General features: G+C 41.7%; 1 long non-coding RNA gene across 1 annotated transcript; it reads right to left on the bottom strand.

Annotated features, from left to right (window-relative positions):
- Positions 1-10,306: 10,306 nt before the first annotated feature.
- On the bottom strand, positions 10,307-16,738 carry LOC107985420 (uncharacterized). The gene is made up of 4 exons (XR_001737800.2): positions 16,696-16,738; positions 15,083-15,241; positions 14,439-14,596; positions 10,307-13,808 (listed from the first exon to the last, which is right to left on the bottom strand). It is a non-coding gene; the product is annotated as an uncharacterized LOC107985420 (long non-coding RNA).
- Positions 16,739-24,437: the final 7,699 nt, after the last annotated feature.

Here is a 24,437-nt window from a genome sequence, read left to right as displayed (position 1 = left end):
TTGAACCCACATTAACAACCGTGTCTCACCCACAACATGACAGGAGGAGACACCTCCTCTCATCTAGGGGATGGACTCCATTTCAACCAGGTGCATCTTACCAATTAACAATGACAACCACAAATGTTTATTGAGCACTACATTTTGCTCAGCACTTTACAATCATTTCTTCATTTATTATTCACGAGTGTCCCATAGGGTGAGGATTTCTCTCTGCTTTTTTGTTCTTTTGTCTAGGACCTGGCACATGTAAATATTGTTAATGAAAAAACAAACTATGTAGTACATTATTACCTTCATTTCACTGAGAAAAAAACTGAGATGCAGAGATGTTAAACAACTTACCCAAGTGCTGTGGGCTGAATTGTGTCACCCAAAGATTCACAAGATAAAGCCTTAACCCCCAATGCCACCGTATTTGGAGATAGGGCTTTTAGGAGGAAATTAAGGTTAAATGAGTCCTAGGGCTTGATAAGTTTAGTGATCTTATGAGAGATGAAGAGAGAAACATCTGTCTCCACTTGCATACACCAAGGACAGGTCATGTGAGAACACAGCAATAAAGCAGCAATTGCAAGCCAGGAAGAGCACTGCACCAGAACCTGACCATGCTGGCCTCCTGATCTCAGGTTTTCAGCACCCAGAAGAGCAAGAAAATAAATTTCTGTTGTTTAAGCCACCTAGTCTATGCTATTTTGTATGACAACCCAAGACGATTTAGACACTACTTATTTAGGAAAATTAGGAAATAGAAAACTCAAAATTTTAACCTAGATTAACAGATTTCAGAAGCTTTATCCAGTCACTATGGAGTATTTATCAAAGTATGTGTTGTGACCCACTAGTGGTTCTGAATGCAATCTATTGGACTACAACCAGCAATTTTTCCAGAAATTGAATAGACAGGTATAGAATATAATTGAACAGAATACAAAATATCAGAGTGTGTCACTGTTTAAAGTAATATAAGTAATCCTTAAAACTCATGTCCCTTTTTTTTTGAGATGGAGTCTCACTCTGTCACCCAGGCTGGAATGCAGTAATGCAATCTCAGCTCACTGCAACCTCCGCCCTCCAGGTTCAAGTGATTCTCCTGCCTCAGCCTCCTGAGTAGCTAGGATTATAGGCATGCGCTACCACACCCAGCTAATTTTTGTATTTTTAGTAGAGATGGGGTTTCACCATGTTGGCCAGGCTGGTCTTGAACTCCTGACTTGAGGTGACCTGCCCACCTCAGCCTCCCAAAGTGCTGGGATTACAGGCATGAGCCACCACACCTGGCCCATAAGTCACTTTTTAAAGTAAGACTTAAAAAACATAAGCATTACTTCACAAAACTTTTGTTCCAGAAATGTGGAGGGGAGGTGTAGAGGGGCATATGCACCCCAAAGTGATATGTATCTCTTACTGTTTCAGTCAAAAATATTTTTATAAACACTGTTGTTCTTGCCATTCTGTCTCACAAATAGCCCATCCATCCTATCTCTAGCCAGACCCCTTCTGATATAAAGAAATATCACATACCCATAGGTGAGTCCTGATTTTCATACTGCTTACACAATTTTCCTCTGGGTCATAGCTCATCCCAGCATGACATGGTTTGACATTTAATCTCTACACATCACACATATATGTTTTCTTACTTATTTTGTGCCCATGTTTTTTTCTTGCAACAGTAGAAGCTGAGCACAGCTTGACTGTCCATCCTTACTCCCTGTTTTCTACAATCCTTAACTCAGTCTGTATCCATGCAGCACTCTTCTAAGGGCTTATCCATTACAAATGTACACTAAATGTATGTGCAATAATTCAACTAATTGATCCAATCAAGTAGATTATATCCTTTTGAGAGCTTCTGTTCAGTCCCAAAACAGCCCAGATTCAGTCACAGAGAAATCAAGCAGGCGTTAGCTCTGATTCTGGAAAACTTGGGTTTTTAATCCTAGAATCAAAACATCAGTAGGTTTTTTTAATACTGAGACAATGTAAACATCTATAATTTTCTTTCTGGCTCAGTCTTGATCTCTATATGGTGGTCAGGCCCATTGTGGTGGGGGAGGGTCTGGTATACTCACCCAAGTGATATAGGCACAAGTGAAAGTCACCTCAAGGACCATATCTGGGTATGGGCCATTTGAGTAGCTGTCACCACAAAGACAATCTTGTCTGGGTCCTGAGTAGTGAGACCAGACATTCTGCAGGACAGGCTTATGGGGGTGCCAGTCAGCACCACGGACAGTTCCAAGTGCACCTGACTGACTTCAGAATAGCAGGAATCCCTTTGATGTGTAGTCAGCCCCAGCATACTTGGCTTATTGCCTCTCCAATGTACAGCCCACTCCACACAGGTGCCTCAAACCGCAATGAACTTTTCAGTGTCAGGGACCATGTGGTCCTAGGCCCAGGAGTCCCTTTTTCCAACGTCTGGAGATATTGCTTCTGCCTCTGGGTGTAGATGGGCCCCTCAAATGAGGGAGGGGAAGAAGAGGTGGGTTCAGCTCCCTCACCCCCTGATTTAACATTTTTTCCAATGTCCTATACCTTCTGTGACCCAGATCATAACCTAACACAGGTAGGAGTTAGGGGAGAGATTGTCTGGCCTATCTGTAAAGTATATTTATTGATTTTCTGATTGCCCAGCATCTCTTCCAACTTAATTTAGTAATATATCCCAACTTTTGATGAGCTACTTTTCCCCTCACAGTATGCTATGTCTATTAATCAAGATGGCTCATCATCCCCAGACAGATGATGAGCAGACATGTGACTCATCTTGGACAATCAGATACTTCCTTCCTAGAATTAGAACATAAGAATAATAGTAAAATAGTTAGAATTTCCTTATTACTGGTAAATTCTTGACCCTGACAAGACAGTTGACTAGTTCCTTCTATCAAGACCCTCTGAGGCTTCATGTTTCCTGTCTGTTCCAAATCTGGATCTTTAATCTCATAAGCAACTTCCCTATCTTTCTACAGACATCTCTTTTGCCTAAATTAGCCAGCATTAGTTTCTATTGCTTATAACCAAAAATTCCTAACAGTTTCATCTACTAAGGATAAAGGTTATGCCTGGAGTATTGAGATGGAAGGCAGGGAGGATAATAAATTTATAATTTTCAGTTAAGCCCAACTAAGAGAATATGAGCCAAAACTATATGAAATTTATTTCTAAATCCTTACACTTCTTAGCACATGCTTTATCCATAGTTGGTGTTCAAAATGTACCTATTAAGTTGGGGCATATATAAAAATCTATAAAGTGGGCATGACTAAGAAAGACAGATGGATGTTGGTTAAACATTATTGTGAATAATACATATTTTGGAGGCAAGAAACAGCTCTCAAAGAAGTTACCATTACCTCTTCACCTCTCTCTCTCTCCCTCTTCATATCCCTCTCACTTTTAACAATAAATACAAACTTCAAAGCCTCATCTTAGCCCTCTCATTTGTTAGGGCATCTGTTATACCATGGAGTAAAGCATCAGAGCAAAGTAAAATAAAATTCATGTAAAATAAAGGCTTTTTCAAAGAATTCCTAAATTTTGATCCTTTCTGATATTCCCCTGACTCCAGTTAATAAAAATAGCTACAGTTAATAAAACATTCTATCCACTCCTTTTCAATGCTGCCTATTATTCTTGAATGCTCAAAAGCCCCAGGCTCCCAGCCGGGTCAAAAGGTTTCACAAAACATCCACGAATTATTTCGAAGCAGTGAGACTCCCACAGCATGCCTCCCCGGAAGCTGTAAGGCAAGAAAATCCATCCTCTCATTCTGAACGAAAGTCAGAATTCACTGGAGGAGATATAAAGAAACCACCAGATAAAGGTTTATTCTTATGTTGCACTTTTAGTCTGTAATCCCAGGTACACCCCTCACCTAAGTAGGAGCATTCCCTCCCAGGAGAAGAATCCCAGTGCACTGTCTATGACAATGTATTTTCAATATTTTTTATAACAACCACAAATTCTGTTTTTAAAAAACAATTCCATTCTTCAATATGCTGGAGGGCATTCATAGTTTTCTCTCCCAAACACTGAAGGGAGAAAATTCTCCCACCTTAGCCCTTTGGTCTTTTCTCTTTCAATCAGACTTTAGCAGGTTCAAGTTGAGACTGCTAAAAGGAGCCTCTGTTCACTCCCCTGTCAAACCAAACCTTTCTGCACAGCCCTTTGGTTTTGCTGGATGTTGTTATAAGACCCAGTCCTTACAAGCAACACAGTATTTTCAGCCTGAGCCATCCACAATTTGATTCCTCACCCAAAATGTAGTATACTGTAAGAGACATATCATGGCTATAAGATTAATGATCGCCATAGGGCCCACTCATACATCTCACAGGGCCTACACTATGTGTCACTTAGCAGTATGATGTAACCTGGCCTGGGGAGTTCCAACTCTGGCCCAAAGATTACCCAGTCTCTATGACAACGGATTGCCCTAGAGACAAGGCCACCTCAGTACAGATGCAACTTTCATGAACCTTAAAACAAAGCTTACCCTTGAAAGAACAGTTTAAACTCCCTTTATGAAATAAATACCTGGTAACTGGCCCAGAGAGAATACAGGTATAAGAAAGGGGGAAGGATCCCCCAAACTCTGAGAATGGTATCCAAAGGAAAACCTCCCCTTCAGGGGGTCATCTGACCCCTGACTATATCTGGTCCATGCCACCATAAGAGTGCTCCAGAATAAACTGCCTGAACACCAGATGGTGCCTGACTCTTATCTTTGATGCAAATATGACCAAATAAGGAAAAGTCACCCCCGGGGAAGCTGGTTAACCAGCCCACCTGACAGCCCCAAACACCACATAAAACTGATTCTTTGTGTGTGAATTGCGACTTTAGAGTGATACCCTTAAACCCCAAACTCCTGTATCTGCTAATATACATAATTCCTCCCTGGTTTAGTTCTGACCCACTGGAAGAGTGGGCAATAGATTCCTCACTGACATTGCCAACAGCAAAAAGGCTATGAAACACAAAAGATAACAAGTTACAGGGAAGAACAACAGAGCTGTGCAAACCACTCTGCTGTGATAGTTGCATTTTAAAATCATATCAAGTTATTTAGCAAATAGAATCCACACTCTCCCATGATCTCAAAACACTAAATAACTAATTAATATTTTCATTGCTCTGGCCTTCAACAAGTTTGTGAGAGTTTTGCCAGATCAAGTATTCAGAATCTATTCACTTTATAGATTTTTTAGTGAAATTAGTCTTTATCCTGGTCTGAAGAATCCTAAAAGTTGGGGAAAATGGTGGGATATTTTTCTTCTTTGTTTCTAACACATAATCTTTGTACATAACAATTTTTTAAAAACAATTTTAAGCCAAGTAAATATTATGAGCACACTTCCCAAGTCCAGAACATTTCACATTCATTCATTTACAAGATATTTCTTGAGCACCTGCTTTCTGTCAGGAATGGTACTAGGCTCTATCCTGGAAACTGTAAAATACACATAGGATGAATTTTTAAATTTCTGCCTTTTTGAATGTGTTACTGGCCATCTTTGCCTTGCAAAACCGTCTCTTTTATTAGCATAAAGTCTTTGTAGAGATTGCTTTCCTGTCTTATTTATTTGCAAAATTAGAACTTTGTGAGAGCCTGCACTTCTACTAAGGTTTCTATTAGACTTGGGTTTTTAAGAATTATGATCTTTTATGGCAGCACAATTGAGTCCCAAGGCCTAATTTTTCTACAGCTGTTTCAATTACAACAAAAACTTTAATATAACAAAAAGCATGCCAAAGTCCTGCTGATGGCAGATCTAGAGGCAGTGTTCAGTTGACCTCTAAATGCCTTCCTGCTGGCTGTGACCAGGAGCCACAGGAGCTGGTAGATCTCCATGGCAGGTTTTGCAGCTGTGGTCCCTCCCCCACTGTGATGGTCAATACTGAGTGTCAACTTGATTGGATTGAAGGATTCGAAGTACTGTTCCTGGGTGTGTCTGTGAGGGTGCTGCCAAAGAGATTAACATTTGAGTCAGCGGACTACAAGAAGCAGAGCCACCCTCAATCTGGGTAGACACCATCTAATCAGCTACCAGCAAGGCTAGAATAAAACAGGCAGGAGAAGATGGAAGAGCAGACTTGCTGAGACTTCTGGCCTTCATCTTTCTCCTGTGCTAGGTGCTTCCTGCCCTCGAACATCAGACTCCAAGTTCTTCAGCTTTCAAAATCTTGGACTTATATTGGTAATTTGCCAGAGACCCTTGGGCCTTTGGCCACAGACTGAAGGCTGCACTGTTGGCTTCCCTATTCTTGAGGTTTTGGGACTCGCACTGATCCACCACTGGCTTCCTTGGCTCCTCAACTTGCAGCCGGCCTATCATGGGACTTACCTAGTGATCATGTAAGTCAGTTCTCCTTAATAAATGCCTCTTAATATATACATATATCCTATTCGTTCTGTTCCTCTAGAGGACCCTGACTAATACACCCACCATCACAGCTTGCAGGTTCTCTTCCAGGAGAGATATTTGCTGTGACTACCATCCTCTATAACCTCTCCTCCAGTTTCTTCCTCAGGATGATCCAAGACACCAGAGAGGTGAAAATTAGCTTCCTTTCACCAAAAATAAAGGGAGGTGAATTGTTCTCAATTCTCCAAGTACAGCTCAATCTCCTTCACTGGGAAATCAGAATTTGACTAAAACATGCCCTAACTTTCCCATCTCATTTCCTTCCTGAGGGAATTCTGGTCAACTACTCTGCTTACTACCTCCCAAATGGGCCCTAAGCTTTCTCATCATGATTTCTTCACTTAAAACATCCTTCCCACCTACAACACGCTTCAAAATTCTAACTTGCCTTTAAACCTAACTAAAACTTCATCCCCTTAAAACAGCTTTTCCTTAACTGATTTAGACTGAAATCATCATACTTACCTTTTCACAAATTACAGCAATTTCATGGCTGAAAGATGTTGAGGGTCTGAATTGGGACAGTGGCAACAGGAATGCACATGTGAGAATAGACTCAAAATCCATAATGGTAGTCAAATAAATGGTCAGGGCTTGGTGGATGTTGGTGGATGTTATTATGGATGCCTCTTGCCAGAAAATTGCTTGAGAGTGAGGCTAGCACCATGAAGGGAATATAAGCCTTTTCCCCTGCAATTTCTACTAGGCACAATATTTAGAATGTGAGGCAGAAATGACCAATGGTCAAATTTCTTAAGACTTTATATCTTCCCCAAGGAAGGAGAACGTAAACAAACATTTTCATAGCACAGAGATCTGTTGCCGACTCTAATTACAATAATCTCCCATTCTGAAATTACTTTTTTCCTCACTGGTTCTTTCATCACAGACGCCCAATTTGAAATCAAAGATAACTGACATCACCTCTAAAATTTTCATTACTTGAAGTATGGGAAATGGAATATGTATGGTTCATGCCCCTTGAGCCACACATGTGCATGTCTCAGTCTGTCTTCCCTGAAATAAATTTGCTACAATCACTGTTTTTACAATATGCTAAAGATACATTACCAAAATAAGCTTGCTCCTCCACAGAGTAAGTGAGCCGAAGGCATTGTGTTCCATCTTTACAATGAAATGCAGATTTTTCATTGAAAGACTAATCTTCAGTTTCAAAAGACTGAACAAAAATGGTGCTTAAGAAGAATTATAGCTGGTTAAATATAAACTGCTAAAAACATCCAGGACCAGAATATTCTATGGGTACCAAAGCATTTTCATCTGCTTATGATTGAAACAAATTCCTTTCTGTGGAATATCTTATCCCAGTATTTTCTTCTGAGATCAGCAAACAAAAATCAGGAAGTATACTGACCCAGAGCCTTCTTTACCTAAATGATCTTATTTCTCTACATTTGTATCAGTAAGAGATTGCCTCACATTAGCATGATTGGCCCCCTGTCTGGCCTGAACCTACTCATAGCAGAATGGAAGAGAGTCCCACAGAGCTCCCCATGCTCCTGGTGGGCCACACATGGTCACATTTGCTCAGCATCTCCTCTCAAACCTCTACTCACTGGCAGATACCAGTCCAAGGTCTGCTTAAAACTAGTGACCCGGCTGGGCGCGGTGGCTCACGCCTGTAATCCCACCACTTTGGGAGGACGAGGTGGGTGGATCACGAGGTCAGGAGATCAAGACCATCCTGACCAACATGGTGAAACCCCGTCTCCACTAAAAATACAAAAAATTAGCCAGGCGTGGTGGCGGGCACCTGTAGTCCCAGCTACTTGGGAGGCTGAGGCAAGAGAATGGCGTTAACCCAGGAGGCGGAGCTTGCAATAGCTGAGAATGAGCCACCGTACCGCAGCCTGGGCGACAGCACAAGACTCTGTCTCAAAAAAAAAAAAACAAAAAAAAAACTAGTGACCCATTCCTTCCTTAGAAGACGTAGGGACCAGCTTCAGTGCCTTCATCCCTGTCACCTTCACAGCCCCATATAGTTTTCTCTATCTGCCAATCTAACCCCATGTCCTTTCCCTTCACTGCCCTCCCAACCCTTTTCCGGGTCCTCTGGAAGTCATGGTGTGTTAGGAGTAAAAATACCTAGAGGCTGGGTGCAGTGGCTCATGCCTGTAATCCCAGCAGCTTGGGAGGCCAAGGTGGGTGGATCACCTGAGGTCAGGAGTTCAAGACCAACCTAGCCAACATGGTGAAACCCCATCTCTACTAAAAACACAAAAATTAGCTGGACATGATGATGGGCGCCTGTAATCCCAACTACTCAGGAGGCTGAGGTGGAAGAATTGCTTGAACCCAGGAGGCAGAGGTTGCAGTGAGCCGAGATCCGCCATTGCCCTCCAGCCTGGGCAACACAGCAAAACTCTGTCATAAAAAAAAGAAAGAAAGAAAAAAAAAAACCTAGAAACTCAATTTCTCTGAATATATCATCTTCTCACTCCAATGAAAATCTCCAGTAGATCCCAAAGGAACAGTTTCCCCCAGTCACTACACAGGTTGTGTTTTTCCTCTGATAACATTTGTCCTAAAGGAGCAGGGAGCTCTCCTCATTGCCTCTTTCAGATTAACACTCCTGACTCCATCCTGTAAACCCAGCCATACCATCTGATACTTTGCATTGTTGCAAGAATCTACCTTCCAATCTGTTGATCACTCTCATTAAATGAAAGAATGTGTCTTTGCTCACTGTCTTCCTCTCCACTTCTGTAACAATGGGGAGTGGTTAAATAATCAAAATAATCACATAGATCTCACAGACTTTTGTTCTTTTTGCTGAATTTATCCCATATCCCACCTCAGCCACTTATTTTCCTGGTCATACCCTGTCTCTTCTCATTGTCAATAACTTCACTCCTCCAAAATATTGGTTTTAAGTGTCCCTCTAATTACAACCTCTGAGCTTTCCATCTTGATCATTGTTTTTACCACAATTCCAGTAACCTCAGGATATTCAAATCTTGGACCTACCACCCTTTTGCTGACCATCAGGTTCTCACTTCCCTCTTTCCCCAGTTTAAATTCCATGGTCCATCTCTAACATCACCTCTCATATACAGTCTCAGCTCTCATCTGCTCACCTTGCCCCTTATGTACTCAGAAAACAGAACCGCAATCCTAATTACATTCAGCTTTCTGTCTACTCCATGCCTACACCCAAGCCAATTCTGAAGGCCAGAGAAAAATCCCACAATTGTTTGGATTAATCACACTTTAAAATCACGACCACAAACCTTAACAATGTCCTCAACCTTAACCAAGAATTCTGGCATAATGTCCTTGCCAGTTCATTCTCCTGCCCTCTGAGACAAGTCTCTCACACACTCACTCTTCTTCACTTGAAATTTCAACACATCCTACACATTGGTCTCTGAAGGACATCATATCTTATTTTACTAAGAAAGAAGGAACACCCCAAAGAGAACTTTCTTATCCTGCAGTCAAACCTGGCATCCTCTCTGCTGCTGTGCCTGCACCTTGCCTGTCCTCCTATAATAGGGCTTGAACTGTCTGTCCTCCTTTCTAAAGCCAGCCCCTCCATCTGTGCAATGGATCCTGTCCCCTCTTGCCCACATAAGGATTTTGGCACAGCAATTGTCTTCATTCTCTCCTGGCTTGTTACCTGATCCCACATCTTCCTCCTTTTAGCATTAATTCCACTATCCATTTCTTGGCTTCCATTCACAGTAAAACCATTCAAAACCTTGCCATGCTCTCTGCATCCACTTCCTTGATTCTCATTCTTTCCTGAACTCCTTCCATTCAGGTTACTATCCCCCCATTTCACTAAAACTGTTTTTTCAAGGTCGTTAATGACCTCTGTATTGCCAAACTTAATAGTCTTTTCCTAATTTTTGTCTTATTTGACTTCCCAGTATCATTTGATTATTTAATATCATCATTTGATAACTCCCTCTTTGGGGAATATTTTTTCTTGGACTATAGAACATCATATGTGTCTGGTTTTCTTCTTACCTCACTGTCTGTTACTTTCCAATCTCATTTACTGGATTTCTCACTCCCACTTGAGGCTCAGCCCTCAGCCCTCTTCTCTATCAGCACTCATATCCCTTAAGTCATCTTATCTCTTCCATTGCTTTCCATACCATCTGTGTGCTGATGGTCCCAAATTTCTATCACCATCCCCTGACTTCTCCCATAAACTCCATATATATCCAACTCCCTGCGTGACATCTTCACTTAGATGTCTAATAGGAATCTCTGCAGGTGTACTTCAAAACATACTAAGAATCCCTGCCATGATGACCAAGAACCATGAGAAGGTTCAATATCAATAGTAATCAGACAGTGACAAACAAAAAACACAATGTGATTTTTCCATCAACCCATTATTACCAATTACATTGCTAGGAATATTCACAAACATGTCTTGGGTGCACATTGCACACACTTCTGTTGTTCAACTTGAGATGATGCCAAACTTTTCCAAAATAAATATATATTCTCAGCTGTTTTTGCAATTTTTAATTTTTAACATCACTACTACCAGTCATTTTAAGTTTTGTTATTCTGCTGTGTGTCTGGTGTTATTACATCATCCTTTTAATTTGTATTTTCTTGATTACTGGCAAAGTTGAACACCTTTTTATTATTGACCAAGCAAACTGACCTATGAGATTTAGGATGCAACTTAGGTGCCTAAACTATAAAGAAAGCCATGGAAGTGATTACCATAAAAATCAGGGTAGTAGTTACCCTCCAGGGGCAAGGAAGGTAAAGTCACCAGAAGAGGACATGCAGAGAGCAAGGGGCTTTCTGAGTGCTGAGGAATGTATTTTTTGCTCTGTGTAGTAGTTACACAGATGTTCACTTTGTGATAAAACACTGGGCTGTAAACTCTTGTTTTGTACAATTTTCTACATTTGTTTTATTTCACAGTAAAAAAAATTAAATAGAAGGTTAAGTGAAGCAAACAAATATTATTTGAGTACTTACTACATGCTGGGCCATAAGACAAATACAGGGACCCAAAGATTAATGAGAAAGGTTGTTTCCCTCAAGGTCACCATGAATCACGCGATTAATTGGTGGCAGCCAGAATTGCACCTGGAGCACTGAGAACCCATGAAAGATGTCAAGAAGGAGGGGGATTTGTGGCAGGCCTCGAAATGTGAGTGGTATTGGATAAGCAAAGAAAAGGAGCAGCATGATAGCCATCTTTAGATTTATGACCAGAGCAACTCCCAGTCTACACATACATTGACATTGACACTCAGATGCCCACAGTCACACACACGCTCATGGTGTGCATTTGCTGGAGCTGCTGTAACAAAGTACCACAGACTGGGTGGCTTCCACAACAGAAATGTGCTGTCTCACACAGTTCTGGAGGCCAGAAGTCTGAAATCAAGGTGTCGGCCAGGTTGGTTCCTCGGAGGCTGTGAGGGAAGGATCTGTTCCAGTCCTCTCTACTTGGCTTGTACATGGCTATCTTCTGCCAGTGTCTCTTCACGACCTCTTCCCTCTCTGAGTGGCTCTGTGTCCAAATTTCCCCTTTTACAAAGACAACAGCTAATGGGATTACAGCCCACCCTAATGTCTCCTTTGAACTTGATTATCTATACGAAGACCTCTCTCCAAATAACGTTGAATTCTAAGGTATTAGGGGCTAGGATTTCAACATAAGAATTTTAGGGAGACACAATTTTACACATAACACTCAACATATATACATACTCACAAATGTACACACATACATGTTCTCCCAGTCACACATACACACATACATTCATACACACTCACATACACATGCACACATCTACATAAACACACACACACAATCTCACAATACACATACTCACAGCTCTTTACCCTTTCTCACTCATATCGACGCCCTCACAGGCAGGCAGGCATCTGCAGGGGAGTTGCTCCTTTCCCCCACGCTGCCACCGGCAGCACCCTGTCTCCTTGGGTGGGAATGTGACCCAAGCCAAGGAAAACAGAGTCTCTCACCAAGCATGAGCCAAACTGGAAGTAAGGGAAGACAGCCCCCCACTGCCTGGTGGCAAATTTGGGAAGATAAACAGTTGCTACTGGAAACACTGTCCCACTGTAGTACAGGCCAAGGCCTGTCTGCTGGACAATGAAGGAGAACCACAGGAGAAAAAAAAGTGAATCTCGATGCCCATATCCCCGGGCCCCAGCCATCTATTGGTCAGCTGCACCCTGACAGCTCACAGTATGGTAATTCCCCTTCCCTGCTCAAGTTAGTTTGGTGTGGATTTCCAACACCTGTAATTCCAAGAGGCCAGGGCTTTCCAATGGAAGTCTAGGAGGCCTGAAGAGACCGTGAAGATAGAGGGTGAGAGATCAAAATGAACTTGTCACCACGTCTGATGACAAGCCTTCCCTTTTCTTTTGTTCCATTTTGTTTCATTGTCACATTTGTATATTGTTCTCCAACCACACCACTTTCTTTCAGTACTTTCCCAACCTCTCTACCCACTGCAAACTTTAAAATCCTCCCTGCTCCTTACAGATCTGTTTATATGTTAAGTCTGTCCAAAAAAACATTTCCTGACCACCCTAGGAAACGCAATTTACTCTCATGTTACCTTCTAACTCAGAACTTTAATTGCTTTCTTCAAAGTCCTTTATCACAGTTGGCAATTATTTTATTTGTATGCTATTTACTTGGGTTTATCTCTTCCCCATTCTACTCTAAGCCCCCTAAGGACAGAAACCGGGTGCGTATGTTCCCCATTTTATCCCCTCAAGCCCAGCACCCAGTGTGGCACTGATGGCTGATACAAGAAAGTTAGGAAGGAAAGAGATAGACAACGAGGGAGGCTGATGGATTCTCCAGCCCACAACTTCCCAGCTGTGCTTTCTAAAATCCCAGCATTCTGAGAAGGCTGTTTCACTGGCAATTTCACCCTAGACTTCTGTGCCTCTTGCTCACTGAATGCTGTTTTACCTCCTGGGTGATTCTTCTCTGTTGGTCTCCCAGGCCGCTCACCCACAGGAATGCCCCTGCTGCGTGACCTGCTTGCTTTAACGGTGGGGCATCTGTGCCTCTTATTTTTTGCATGGTCACAGGTGTCTTGTATTACCTTGTTTTGTTTATAGCCAATGAAAAAAACATGTTGAGAATTCTTAAGTGACTGTTACAAATTGTAATACTCCCCCACCTTCATTTTTGTAATTTCTTTGCCCCAAAGGCTTTCCTCAGAAGGTATGCCATAGGCAATGCTGGATTTCTTGGGACAGAGCAGTGAAGAACAGTATCACACTCAAAAACACGCACCGGGACATGCAGGCAACTTTCTGTCTGGAGAGCCCTCTTTGGGGCCAAGGTTACAGGAGTGCTTTATAGTCTCTATTCACAAAATCCTGTTTGAAAAAACAAAAAAAAAACTGTTATTTGTTGCCTTGTTTTTTGTTTTTTGAGTTTTGTTTTTGTTTTTGTTTTTTGAGACAGGGTCTCGCTGTGCCACCCAGGCTACAATGCAGTGGTGCAATCACAGCTCACTGCAGCCTCAACCTCCCAGCTCAAGCGATCCTTCCACCTCAGCCTCCCAAGTATCTGGGATTACAGATGCTGGCCACCACACCTGGCTAATCTTTGTATTTTTCGTAGAAACCAAGTCTCACTATGTTGCCTAGGCTGGTCTCCAACTTCTGGATTCCAGTGATCTGCCCACCTCGGCCTCCCAAAGTGCTGAGATTACAGGTGTGAGCCACCGCACCCAGCCAAAAAACTTTTTCAAAGTAAAACACTTGAAAGAAATGACTACGGTTTATTAACAGAGTCTTAGAAACCAAAGCCTTCATTTACCACAATGACTAGCCCAGGGGAAAAAAATAGTTTACTGTGGTGTTTGTAAGGTGCCTGAAAACCACATTTCCTCCTCCCTTTCCTTTCAGATACTCAATCTCTAGGAAACCCAATTGACAAGTTTCTGGCAATTCAACACCATGTAGTATCGCACGTCAGAAATCGGTATGGAATGTTACACTCACTTTTCCTGTAACTTCTTATAGCCTTTAAATTGCCATCTCTCTAACTACATTTCTTCAAACAATATTGCCATTTGAGTGGTATCAATCAGACAGGATTGCCCTTTGACGTCAAAACTCTCAGTCGGCCCACGTGAATAAATTCTGATTACTTCTGTATTCTGGAAAGAAAATGTATTTTTTCAGATTACCGTCATGAGCTGCGAGTGAACATTTAATAAAAAATAATATTGACTTCTCATCTGTAGGCGTCTGGTGTTAAATTTAGTGTCTTTTGCTAACAGAACCACCCTAGGTCTAGCTTGTTTTTAACCATGGCCTTAACACTCCACTGCTTTGCCTAATTCCCAATTCTAAGCAACTCCCATGGCCTAGTTTGTTTTGTTGATTAAACAATGCGCCAGTTTAAACTTCACATTTCAGGTTTGATCGCTATGGGACAAACTGGCTCATAAATCTTCGCTCGGCTACTAGTAACTAGGGAGAAGTCGCTTTCTTCAGTAAACATCCCCTGCTTCTCAGTAATAGGGTGCCTTCCATCACCCAGAGGTTTTTTTCCTTTTAATTGAGTGTTTGTTGAAGCATGACTCTGAGATAGGAGGCCTATTCAGGAACAGAAATTGCAGCCCAAAGTGCCCATTACTTACCTGAGACAGGGCCTGAGACCAGCTGCACCTTGCAGAGCCCGGACGCCGGGGCGTGTGGATTCGGGCTGCTGGGCCGATTAGCGACATTGCCAAAAATGACAGGGATGCAGGGAGATCAGGAGAGCCTAGGTCTTGGTATTCTCTCCACCACCTGCCAACCTGAGGGATAAAAATAATAATAAAGTAGGCACTCCATCTTTGCTCCCTCCTCCCCACCAAAAAAAAACCTCTCCCCAAAATGGAAAATTCAACTTCCCTGCACACCAGAAACACACATCTGTGTTTCCACGTTGTTGTTTTTTCTATTTTTCTTCTCCAGCAGTCAGAAGTCTGCTTCCAAAGCTTCCCCTACCTTCCCGATTTGAAAGGAGAAGAGAGCTAATATTTTTTCAATCTCCATTTTGAGCCAGACATTATATTAGCTGCTTCAGTATATTATTTCCTTAATTCTTCCAACAGGGCAATTAACTTGGTCCGCGTGTTATGGACAGCTACTGGGAAGACCTTTGCTCTGTCTTAGCTCTCCCAGTCCTGATCTCATGGGCCCCATTTTTCCTAGCCCAGAGTTCTTCTTACACATCAATATGGATGAGGTTTTACTTTGAACTGTTCATTCTTCCGAGAATGACAGATGTCGGATTAAACTGCAAAACTCCCCAACTTTACATTCACTGCATTCACCTCCAATCAATAAACGCGTTCTGGTGCTTCCCAGCAGGAAGACAGTCTTCATTATGGCCCTCCTTGGCAATGTGGGGAACTGCTCCTCCCAGCCCCTCAGAGCTTGCACTATTTTGCACATACCCTTCTCACCCCTGATGGGAAGCACTATAGTGTCTGCAAATGTGATTTATTTGAATTCTAGCAGAAACATTTGTAGTACGTCTGGGTGGTCCTCTGTCTTGAGCTGAACCTCGCAATGCTACAGAAATGGGTTATTACTGATACCCGGGAATAGCTACAGTTTCTTTCTTAGCTGGGATAAATTACAGTATGACCTCTCCGTGGTATCCAGTACGTGGTGAGCCCTTAGCCTTCAGACAAAATGACGCCAAGATCACAAATATTTGTCCTGCAGAAGTACTTGAAGTTTGCTCTCCCCTCTATTCTCTAACATAAACAAGCCTCTGCTTTGATCCTTCTCATTGCCCTGTTCCTGTACACACCCCTTCTCTGTTGCTTGGCTCCCATTACCCTCCCCTAACTGAAAGTCCCTCTGCTTCCTTACTATGAGCTATCTATTCTTCAATAAATAACTTAAAACCTTCCACAGAAGGGGACTGACTGCTGAGCTGGGTTTTCAGAAACGAACAGAGTGAGCTGGAGAACAGAATGTGCAGAGTTACTGAAGGCAGGAGAAATGCGTGCACAGGAACGAAACACATTGTGTTAATATTTGGGAACACTCTGATCAGGGATTGTTTGTCTATGAGAAGCAGACACCAGCTCTAAGAAGCTCAAGTAAAAAGTAAGTTTACTGTTAGTATTGAAGGGAATAGTAAGGAAACCAATTTCAGGTAGTAAGGCCAAGAACTAGCACCACACAACCTCCCATGTCCACTTCAACCTGAACGTCTGCCCCATTCTCCTTTCTGATAATCAATTTCCTCTACCTGCCTATTTTGTTAGCCGTAATTTCACAGCCTTAACACTTCCACCTCTCCTAGTTCAAACTACATAGGGGAAGGTCATGTGATTAGTTCGGCTTGGATCAGGTGATCACTTCTGGCCCAATCAGCTGTGGCCAGAATAGTCCACTGTGAGCATGGCTATTTGGAGCTGTCTCTTCAGCAGCTACTGTGGTTGGAAGGCACCTCCCAACGGAAAAAAGCAGGCTGAGCAGGCAAACTGTGTATGGACAAGACAACTCTCAGCAGCTCAGTATTTCTGAAGCTTAAAGAACAAGGCAAAGAATGGTGGAAATGAAACCTTGTTCTTTACTGGCTGATGAGTGCCTCTAGACGTGGCTCTATAAATTGTTGGTTAGGTCATTTTAAAATATATTTTTATGTGCTTTCAACCTTTTTTAAAAATTAGATTTTCTAACCTTTTTCTCCCATTACTTAAAAACATTGTCAACTGTTGGTATCTTAGATGAGAGAGAAATACCTCAGTCAAGCCTTTCTCCTCAAGCAGTTCCCAATGACTCTACCAAGTCCTCTTTCCCTGTTCAAGATAGTTACTTTCTATGCCAAATACCTAACAATTCCCCTGCAGTCTTTTTTTTTTTTTTTTGTACCATGGATTCTGGCATTGGTTTATATAGTATTTATTTCCCAAACTAGATTATAAGCTTTTGAACAGAAAAACCTGCTGTTTCTATATTCTTGCTTCTATATTTCCTTGACTGTCATATATACTCATTGGAGATGGATTATCTGGATATCTATTATGATGGACTTCAACACTACATTACAATGTAATAAGTCATCTCTTATGACATGTATTGGTCATGACTCTTTTGGTCACAAATTGCAGAAACCAACCTAAACTAGCTTAGGCAACAAATGGGAATATATTGGAAAGTTATTAGGTACTATCACATCTAAACCATGGGAAGGGCAGACAGATAACTGGACAAAAGAGCAAGAAGATTCAGAGACTCAAAAGGAAAATCTGTCTCTCTTCCTGCCCCTACTTCTCTTCCTTCCTGTCTTCCTCCTTCCTTCCCACCTCCTTTTTTCATCCTGTCTCTCACTTTTAGACGGTTCTCTTGGTGGTTTCTAAGTTTAACATCTTACATTTTCCACTGCTAGAGAGAAACTGACGTCTTTCTTGGTTAGAATTTTAAAATTCTATTTGGTTGGCTCAGTTTGGGTCAGTGAGCCACCCCTGAATCAATAAAGTATATGTGGAAATGGGGTTGAGATATGGACTCTAAAAACATGGCTTTGCCTGCTGAATCTACATGAATGGAGAAAAGCAGTTCCCAAAATAAAAGGTGTTTAAGTAAGGGTAATATTAATTACTGCAAATGGATAAACCCCTAGCTCTCTGTGGCTTAGCATAGTCAAAGTTTATTTTTCACTCATGACACAGTCCTGATCAGGTGGCTCCTCTCCACGTGATGCCCAGGAGGAAGAGAAAACAGGTTTTGGTGGACACGTACAGTCTCTGTCACAGAGGCATGCTGTCCCCTAATGAAGAGAATGGAGGAAAGGGAGTTCTTGGTCTCCCAAACATTAGATGTCCATTATGCCAGACATAATACATCAGCTCATAACACAATCACCCCGGAACAATCATGAAAAGAATGCTACAGACAGACAAAAAAGTAGCGGATATAAAAATGTATTTGTATCCATAATGTAAAACAAAGTTGAACATGAAATTATAAAGAACCTCAAAAAACATGCTAATAACTCAAAAACAGGAATCGTGGGGTTTTAAGAAACTGTTTCTTTGCATTTCATTCATTCAGAGGGACCATCCTGAGTGCTGTCCTTGTTTCACGAAATTCTGGTCTAACAAGGTAGTAGGTTCTTGCATCCTCCCCCACTACCCCAGAGAATGATAAAATTGTTTTATTTGGAGGCAAGTTATCTCCAAAGGCTTTTTTATTCAGTGCCAGAGATTACAGTACACTAATACAGTAAAAGCTGGAATCAAGACCTTTGTTCGTTCCAATTCCTTGATCCCAGGCTTAAATACGTCTCCTCATAGGATCTTTGTTTGCCACAAAGAGACTGCAGCTGGTTCCTTCCATTTTCCAGGCCTACTCTCATCATTTCAATTAAACAGACTCTTGGAACAATGCATACTGCTATCATGATCAGTCTCTTTTAGTTATCTCTAGGTAAAATAGATGCCTCAAACTCTCACTTGCAGGTTTCCATGATGCCTTTGTGCCCTGTTCCCATTCATCCTCCTCCTTTCCTTCTCCTTGTGGAAGAGCAAATAGCTGTACCATTTCTTCATGTTACTGGGTGAGAATCCACTCCATACCCCAGCCAGCCAGGTTCCTCTGGCTGCCTTTATCACCTTTGTTATCTTAAACATTATAACAAAGTAATTGTTAGGAGAGTCCTTGCGGGGGAGGGTGAGTAAACAAGGTAATTATAGAGGAAGCTAAAAATTGTAGGACAGAGAGAAAATCTACCTGTGTACAATGACAGGTCCAAGAAAGTTTTCAAGACTGATGAGTAGACACAAACATTTGCAATTTAGAGAAAAATGCACGTCAAACCTTTAAGCTTATGAAAGCATCCCAAGTCACTGCCTCTAAGTCATAGTTCACTGCTAGGACTCTTAAACTCTGAGCTCAACCTGAAATAGGGCACAATAGGTGGTAAGCAGAGTTCCTCCTAGAATCCTCTACATTCTCACAATGCCTTTATAAAAGTACCTGCCAGATATATCATCCACTTGCCTCTGCTTGACTGGAAACATTGAAGCATGGTAAAGGTGGAGTGAACCACCCGCCACATGACAGAGTAGCGGAGAGAGTTCAGGGAATAAAGCTTGGGATTTCATCCCTGGGTGCCTACCTTAGCATACGGCCATTCTGCTGCACATGTTTTTCATAATGTACCTCCGAGGGTTTGAATTATTGCTGGGTTTTGCTTTTTTAGGTGGATAGGGAGAATTCAGGTGGAGAATACTAGTAAAATGCAAGAAGTTAAAGCATTATTGGTATAACAAATAGAGAATGTTTTGTTCCAGTCGAGAGAGCTCCAAAATTTCATCCCAAAGTCATCTTCTGGGAAAACCGAAATGTAAGGAGGCTGACACATACTGAATAAGATTTAGTAGGCACATTTCCAAGGTATGCACAGAGCCTGAGTTTTGCTGATTTTACACTTCCTCTTTACCTTAGGTCTACCTGCATAAATAGCTACAATGTCTCATGCTAGTGAACTTTCAGGGCAATGTAGTCAATAGATCACAACACTTTTATTATACATTAGTTTCTCTTTTCCGATGCTTATATTCGCAAGGCATACTCCCTGATCACAGTCAACTTTCTCTTTTAAAATCACATTATGCAAAAAACAGTTTCCCAGATAGTTTTCCCATACAAAATAAAACCTGGGGAAAAACACCCAGATATTAATAATGATTGCTACATGAAGGTTATCATTATGAGTGATTCTGAAATCTCTTCTATGAATTCATACTACTTTTTAAATCAGAAATGAAAGATCAAATTAAAACCCTTAACTGTTTTAAAGGTTTAAAGACACACTGTGCAGCTCCACGTGAGTCCGTGTCACCTCTAGAGGGCAAGGCAAAGCCCTTGAGTGAAAGTGCGGAGAAGCTCAACTCTTTCAGCTGCTTTCTGAGGCTGTGATCAAGAGGCAGTGTAGTACAGTGGTCAACCAGAGCACCTGGTTCTCAATCCCACCACAGCTACTCTGTTGTTTGACCTTGAGCTCAATACATCATGCCTTAGTGCTGCAGATGCCTCATTTCTCATCTGTAAACTGGGACAATTAAGCATAATGCCTACTTACAGGGTTATATGAATCATAAGGATGAAATGAGGTAAAATTTAAAAATCCAGAGCACTGTCCAGTACATGCTAATAACTCAATAAACACTAGGTATTGTATCAGCAAAGATCCAGTCAGAAAGAAGATACTACTGTAGATATTTTTTTTTCTTTTTCAACTTTTATTTTAGATTCATGAGGCACATGTGCAATTTGTTAACTGGGTATATTGTATGATGCTGAGGTTTTGGGTGCATATGATCCCTTTACTCAGGTACTGAGCAATGTACTCAACAGTTAGTTTTTCAAGCCTTGCCCCCCTCCCTGCCTGCTCTAGTAGTCTCCCATGTCCACGAGTACCTGATGTTTAGCTCCCACTTATAAGTGAGAACATGCAGTATTTGGCTTTCTGTTCCTGTGTTAATTCACTTAGGATAATGGCCCCCAGCTGCATTCATGTTGCTGCAAAGGACATGATTTCATCCTTGTTTATGGCTGCATAGTATTCCATAGTGCATATGTACATTATTTTCTTTGTCTAATCCACAACTAATGGGCACCTAGATAGATTCCATGCCTTTCTATTGTGAGTAGTGCTGTGATGAACAGGTGAGTGCATGTGTCTTCCAGGTAGAATGATTTGTTTTCTTCTGAATATATACCCAGTAATGGGATTCCTGGGTCAAACAGTAGTTCTGTTTTAAGCTCTTTGAGAAATCTCCAAACTGCTTTACACAGTGGCTGAACTAATTTGCATTCCCACTAACGGGGTATGTGTTTCCTTTTCTCTACAACCTCGCCAACATCTGTTGTTGTGTGTTGTTTTTTTTTTTTTTGACTTTTTGATAATAACCATTCAGACTGGTGGGAGATGGTATCTCATTGTGGTTCTGATTTTCATTTCTGTGATGATTAGTGATGATTTCTTTCATCTTCTTTGGCCATTTGTATGTCTTCTTTTGAAAGTATCTGTTCATGTCTTTTGCCTATTTTTTAATGAGGTTGTTTTTTGCTTATTCAATTATTTAAGTTACTTCTAGATTCTGGAGATCAGACCTTTGTTGGATGCATAGTTTACAAATATTGTCTCCTGTTCTGTAGGCTGTCTGCTTGCTCTGTTGTTAGTTTCTTTTGCTGTGCAGCAGGTCTTTAGTTTAACTGAGTCCCACTTGTCAATTTTTGTTTTTGTTGCAATTACCTTTGAGGAATTAGTCATAAATTCTTTCCCAAGGCCCATGTTCAGAATGATGTTTCCTAGGTTATCTTCTAGGATTCTTATAGTTTGAGGTTTTACATTTAAATCTTTAATCCATCTTGAGTTAATTTTTGTATATGGTGAAAGGTAGGCATCCAGTTTTATTCTGTGTATGGCTAGCCAGTTATCCCAGCACCACTTATTGAATAAGGAGTCCTCTCTTCATTGCTTACTTAATACAGGGAATTGATTATACAGATAATGGAAGAGATTAGGAGTCAACAGAGAAGGGCAGAGAAACAACTCAGAGATTAGCAACAACAGGAAGCTGCCACCACCCCTAAATTGGAGGGACAAAGGGAAGAGGTAGAACCACCTGGCAGAACCTGGAACCATGATGGGTCTGTTGAGTGAGAACTGAAGCCATGGCAGAGACTCAGTTGCTGCCAGGGGAGCTGCCCAAAGAAGAAAGAAAGAGGGGAGTGGCCCCACTCCTCCTGCCCTCTGGTCTTTTGCCAGTGCTGCTCATTAGCCAAACCTCTTTTCAAACTGAGAGAGAAGGGAGCCTGGGAAATGTAGTTCCCTGCAACAGAAAGCAAGGCAGAGAAGAGCAGGGAATGGAGTGGAGAGCAAATGGGCAAATAACTGGCATGAGCATTATCGTTATTTTCCAAGAAATAGCTCTTTAAAGGAACTTTGCATTTGCCTAAAGGCACATTAAGTAGTTTTTCATAATGTCACCCTTTGTAGCTTCCTCCTAAGCAAATTTTGAGAATTTTTGCCGCCCAAGGTTCAAGTCCAGTGACTATCGCCAAGCAAAAGGTGTATCTTCCATCCCCATGTGAGACCCATGCCTCTTATTTCTTTGACATGCTGTAAGTGAAGTGCACTGAGTCTCTCCTGAGTGTTCATCACAAGTTTCTAATTTCTCCATGCCCTCCACAGCATGCATAGCATAGACATTCTTATGCATACTCGAGCTTTCTGTACTTCAGTTTCCATATCTGTGACATGAGATGCTAATACCTACTATACCCTGAAGCCCAACCTTTTTTAAAAGCACCTTATAAACTGTAAAGCACTTTACACAAATGACTTGTCATTACCTTTTGATTTCTGGCCTGATGCTCTTTTTGCTACCCCATGCCAGTCCTCCTCCAGAAACAACTTAATCATTCTGACATGTTAAAAGACATCATGAACCTGTGTACAAAAAAAAGTGACTGCCAAATATAATAGCTTCTGCTAAATTTCAGATGTGGTCCCAAATCAAATCAGCCTTAGAGCATGCTGACATGGAAAATGAACTTGTTCACGTGTTAGAGCTCTTAGCCAGGCTTCCCTACACAACTGCAGTCTTGTTTGGGATCATCTTCTAAAATATAACAACTGATGCATGTAAAAGCATATTTAAGCACATTTACATATCTCAAAAGCATGTTTAGGCACATTTTAAAACACAAGATATTGGGCAAACAGAAAATCTAGCCAATCCTAAAAGAGAACCACAAACAGCTTCCCTCTTATGGGATGGCTGCTTTGTGGCAGGCATTTGCAAGGCACTTTACAGACCTCATCCTGCAAGATCAGTGTTATTAGTCTCATTTAATGGGAAACCGAGGTTGAGAGGTCCAAAGCACCGTTCTTGAGGCCATGCAGCCAGTCATCAGCAGAGTTAAAAGTTGGACAAATAGCATTCTGCCAAACATCTTTCTGCTACATAACACTGCATCCCACAGTAGAATGTCTGTGTCTTCATTTCCCTTTTGGCTGCTCCAAATGCATGCTGTGACCCTGGCAGCTCAATCCCACACCATGTGGCCCACACCTGGCAGGAGCTCCAAGCAGGCTTTTCTTGTCTATAGAAGACACTGGCACGACAGTGCACCCCTCAGATCTCTGCTGGCAAGGTGCAAAATTGAGCAATAGGTCCAGTGTCTGCTCTCTGTAATCTATCACCACATTCACATGGAGGCCTCACTTCCTACCACCTGCTCCCAGTCAACAGCTGACCACAGCAGGAACATTAAGGCAGGGCCATCCCTGGAAGATAGTAGATTCTTCTGACAGGCACTTTCGACTCTCTTTCAGCTTAAGACTCTTCCACCCAGCTTTATTTCCTTCCCTCTCTTATTCACAAGGTTCAGACCTACATCATAGTCTGATGGCTCTCCCCGCTTCCTATGTTCCCTCATAGGCATTCCCTCTAATAAATCTCTTGTCTGTCTAATCCAGCCTGGGCATCTCCTCCTCAGAGCACCCAGACTAAACAGCATCTCCTACCCTGTCCTTGTTCTCTCTCCTCACCTTATATCTCCTGGTCTCAAGTTCCGGTCTCAGGGCCCGGCACCCAGCTGCAGCCTCAGTGGACCTGGCCAATCAATCTGCTCCACCCACACCACTAATACTAGGCTCCAAATCAGAGGTGGGACTAAACTTTTTCCCCATTTTTAACACCTCCCACTTCAATACCTTTTTGCTGCTTGAATGTCCCCTTATTGGGGAAGAAAAAAAATGTTATAAACTTCTTGCCTCTAGGGTGTAATTATTAGTAGTTTAATGTGCTATCTCTCCAGGGAGTCTGCATTTTAAAGAGGTCAAATAAGGAGGACAATCCCTTGACCTAAAGAAATGAATACATTTACAAATCTTTCTTGAGTACCCACATCAGGGAGCTCAAGACAAACTGGATTCAAATTTAAAGAGTAGAGCTCCTGAGTAGGATTTAA

The sequence above is a fragment of the Homo sapiens genome, chromosome 1, assembly GCF_000001405.40.
Source record: "Homo sapiens chromosome 1, GRCh38.p14 Primary Assembly".
Taxonomy (NCBI): domain Eukaryota; kingdom Metazoa; phylum Chordata; class Mammalia; order Primates; family Hominidae; genus Homo; species Homo sapiens.
This window is presented reverse-complemented; position numbering and strand designations above follow the sequence as displayed.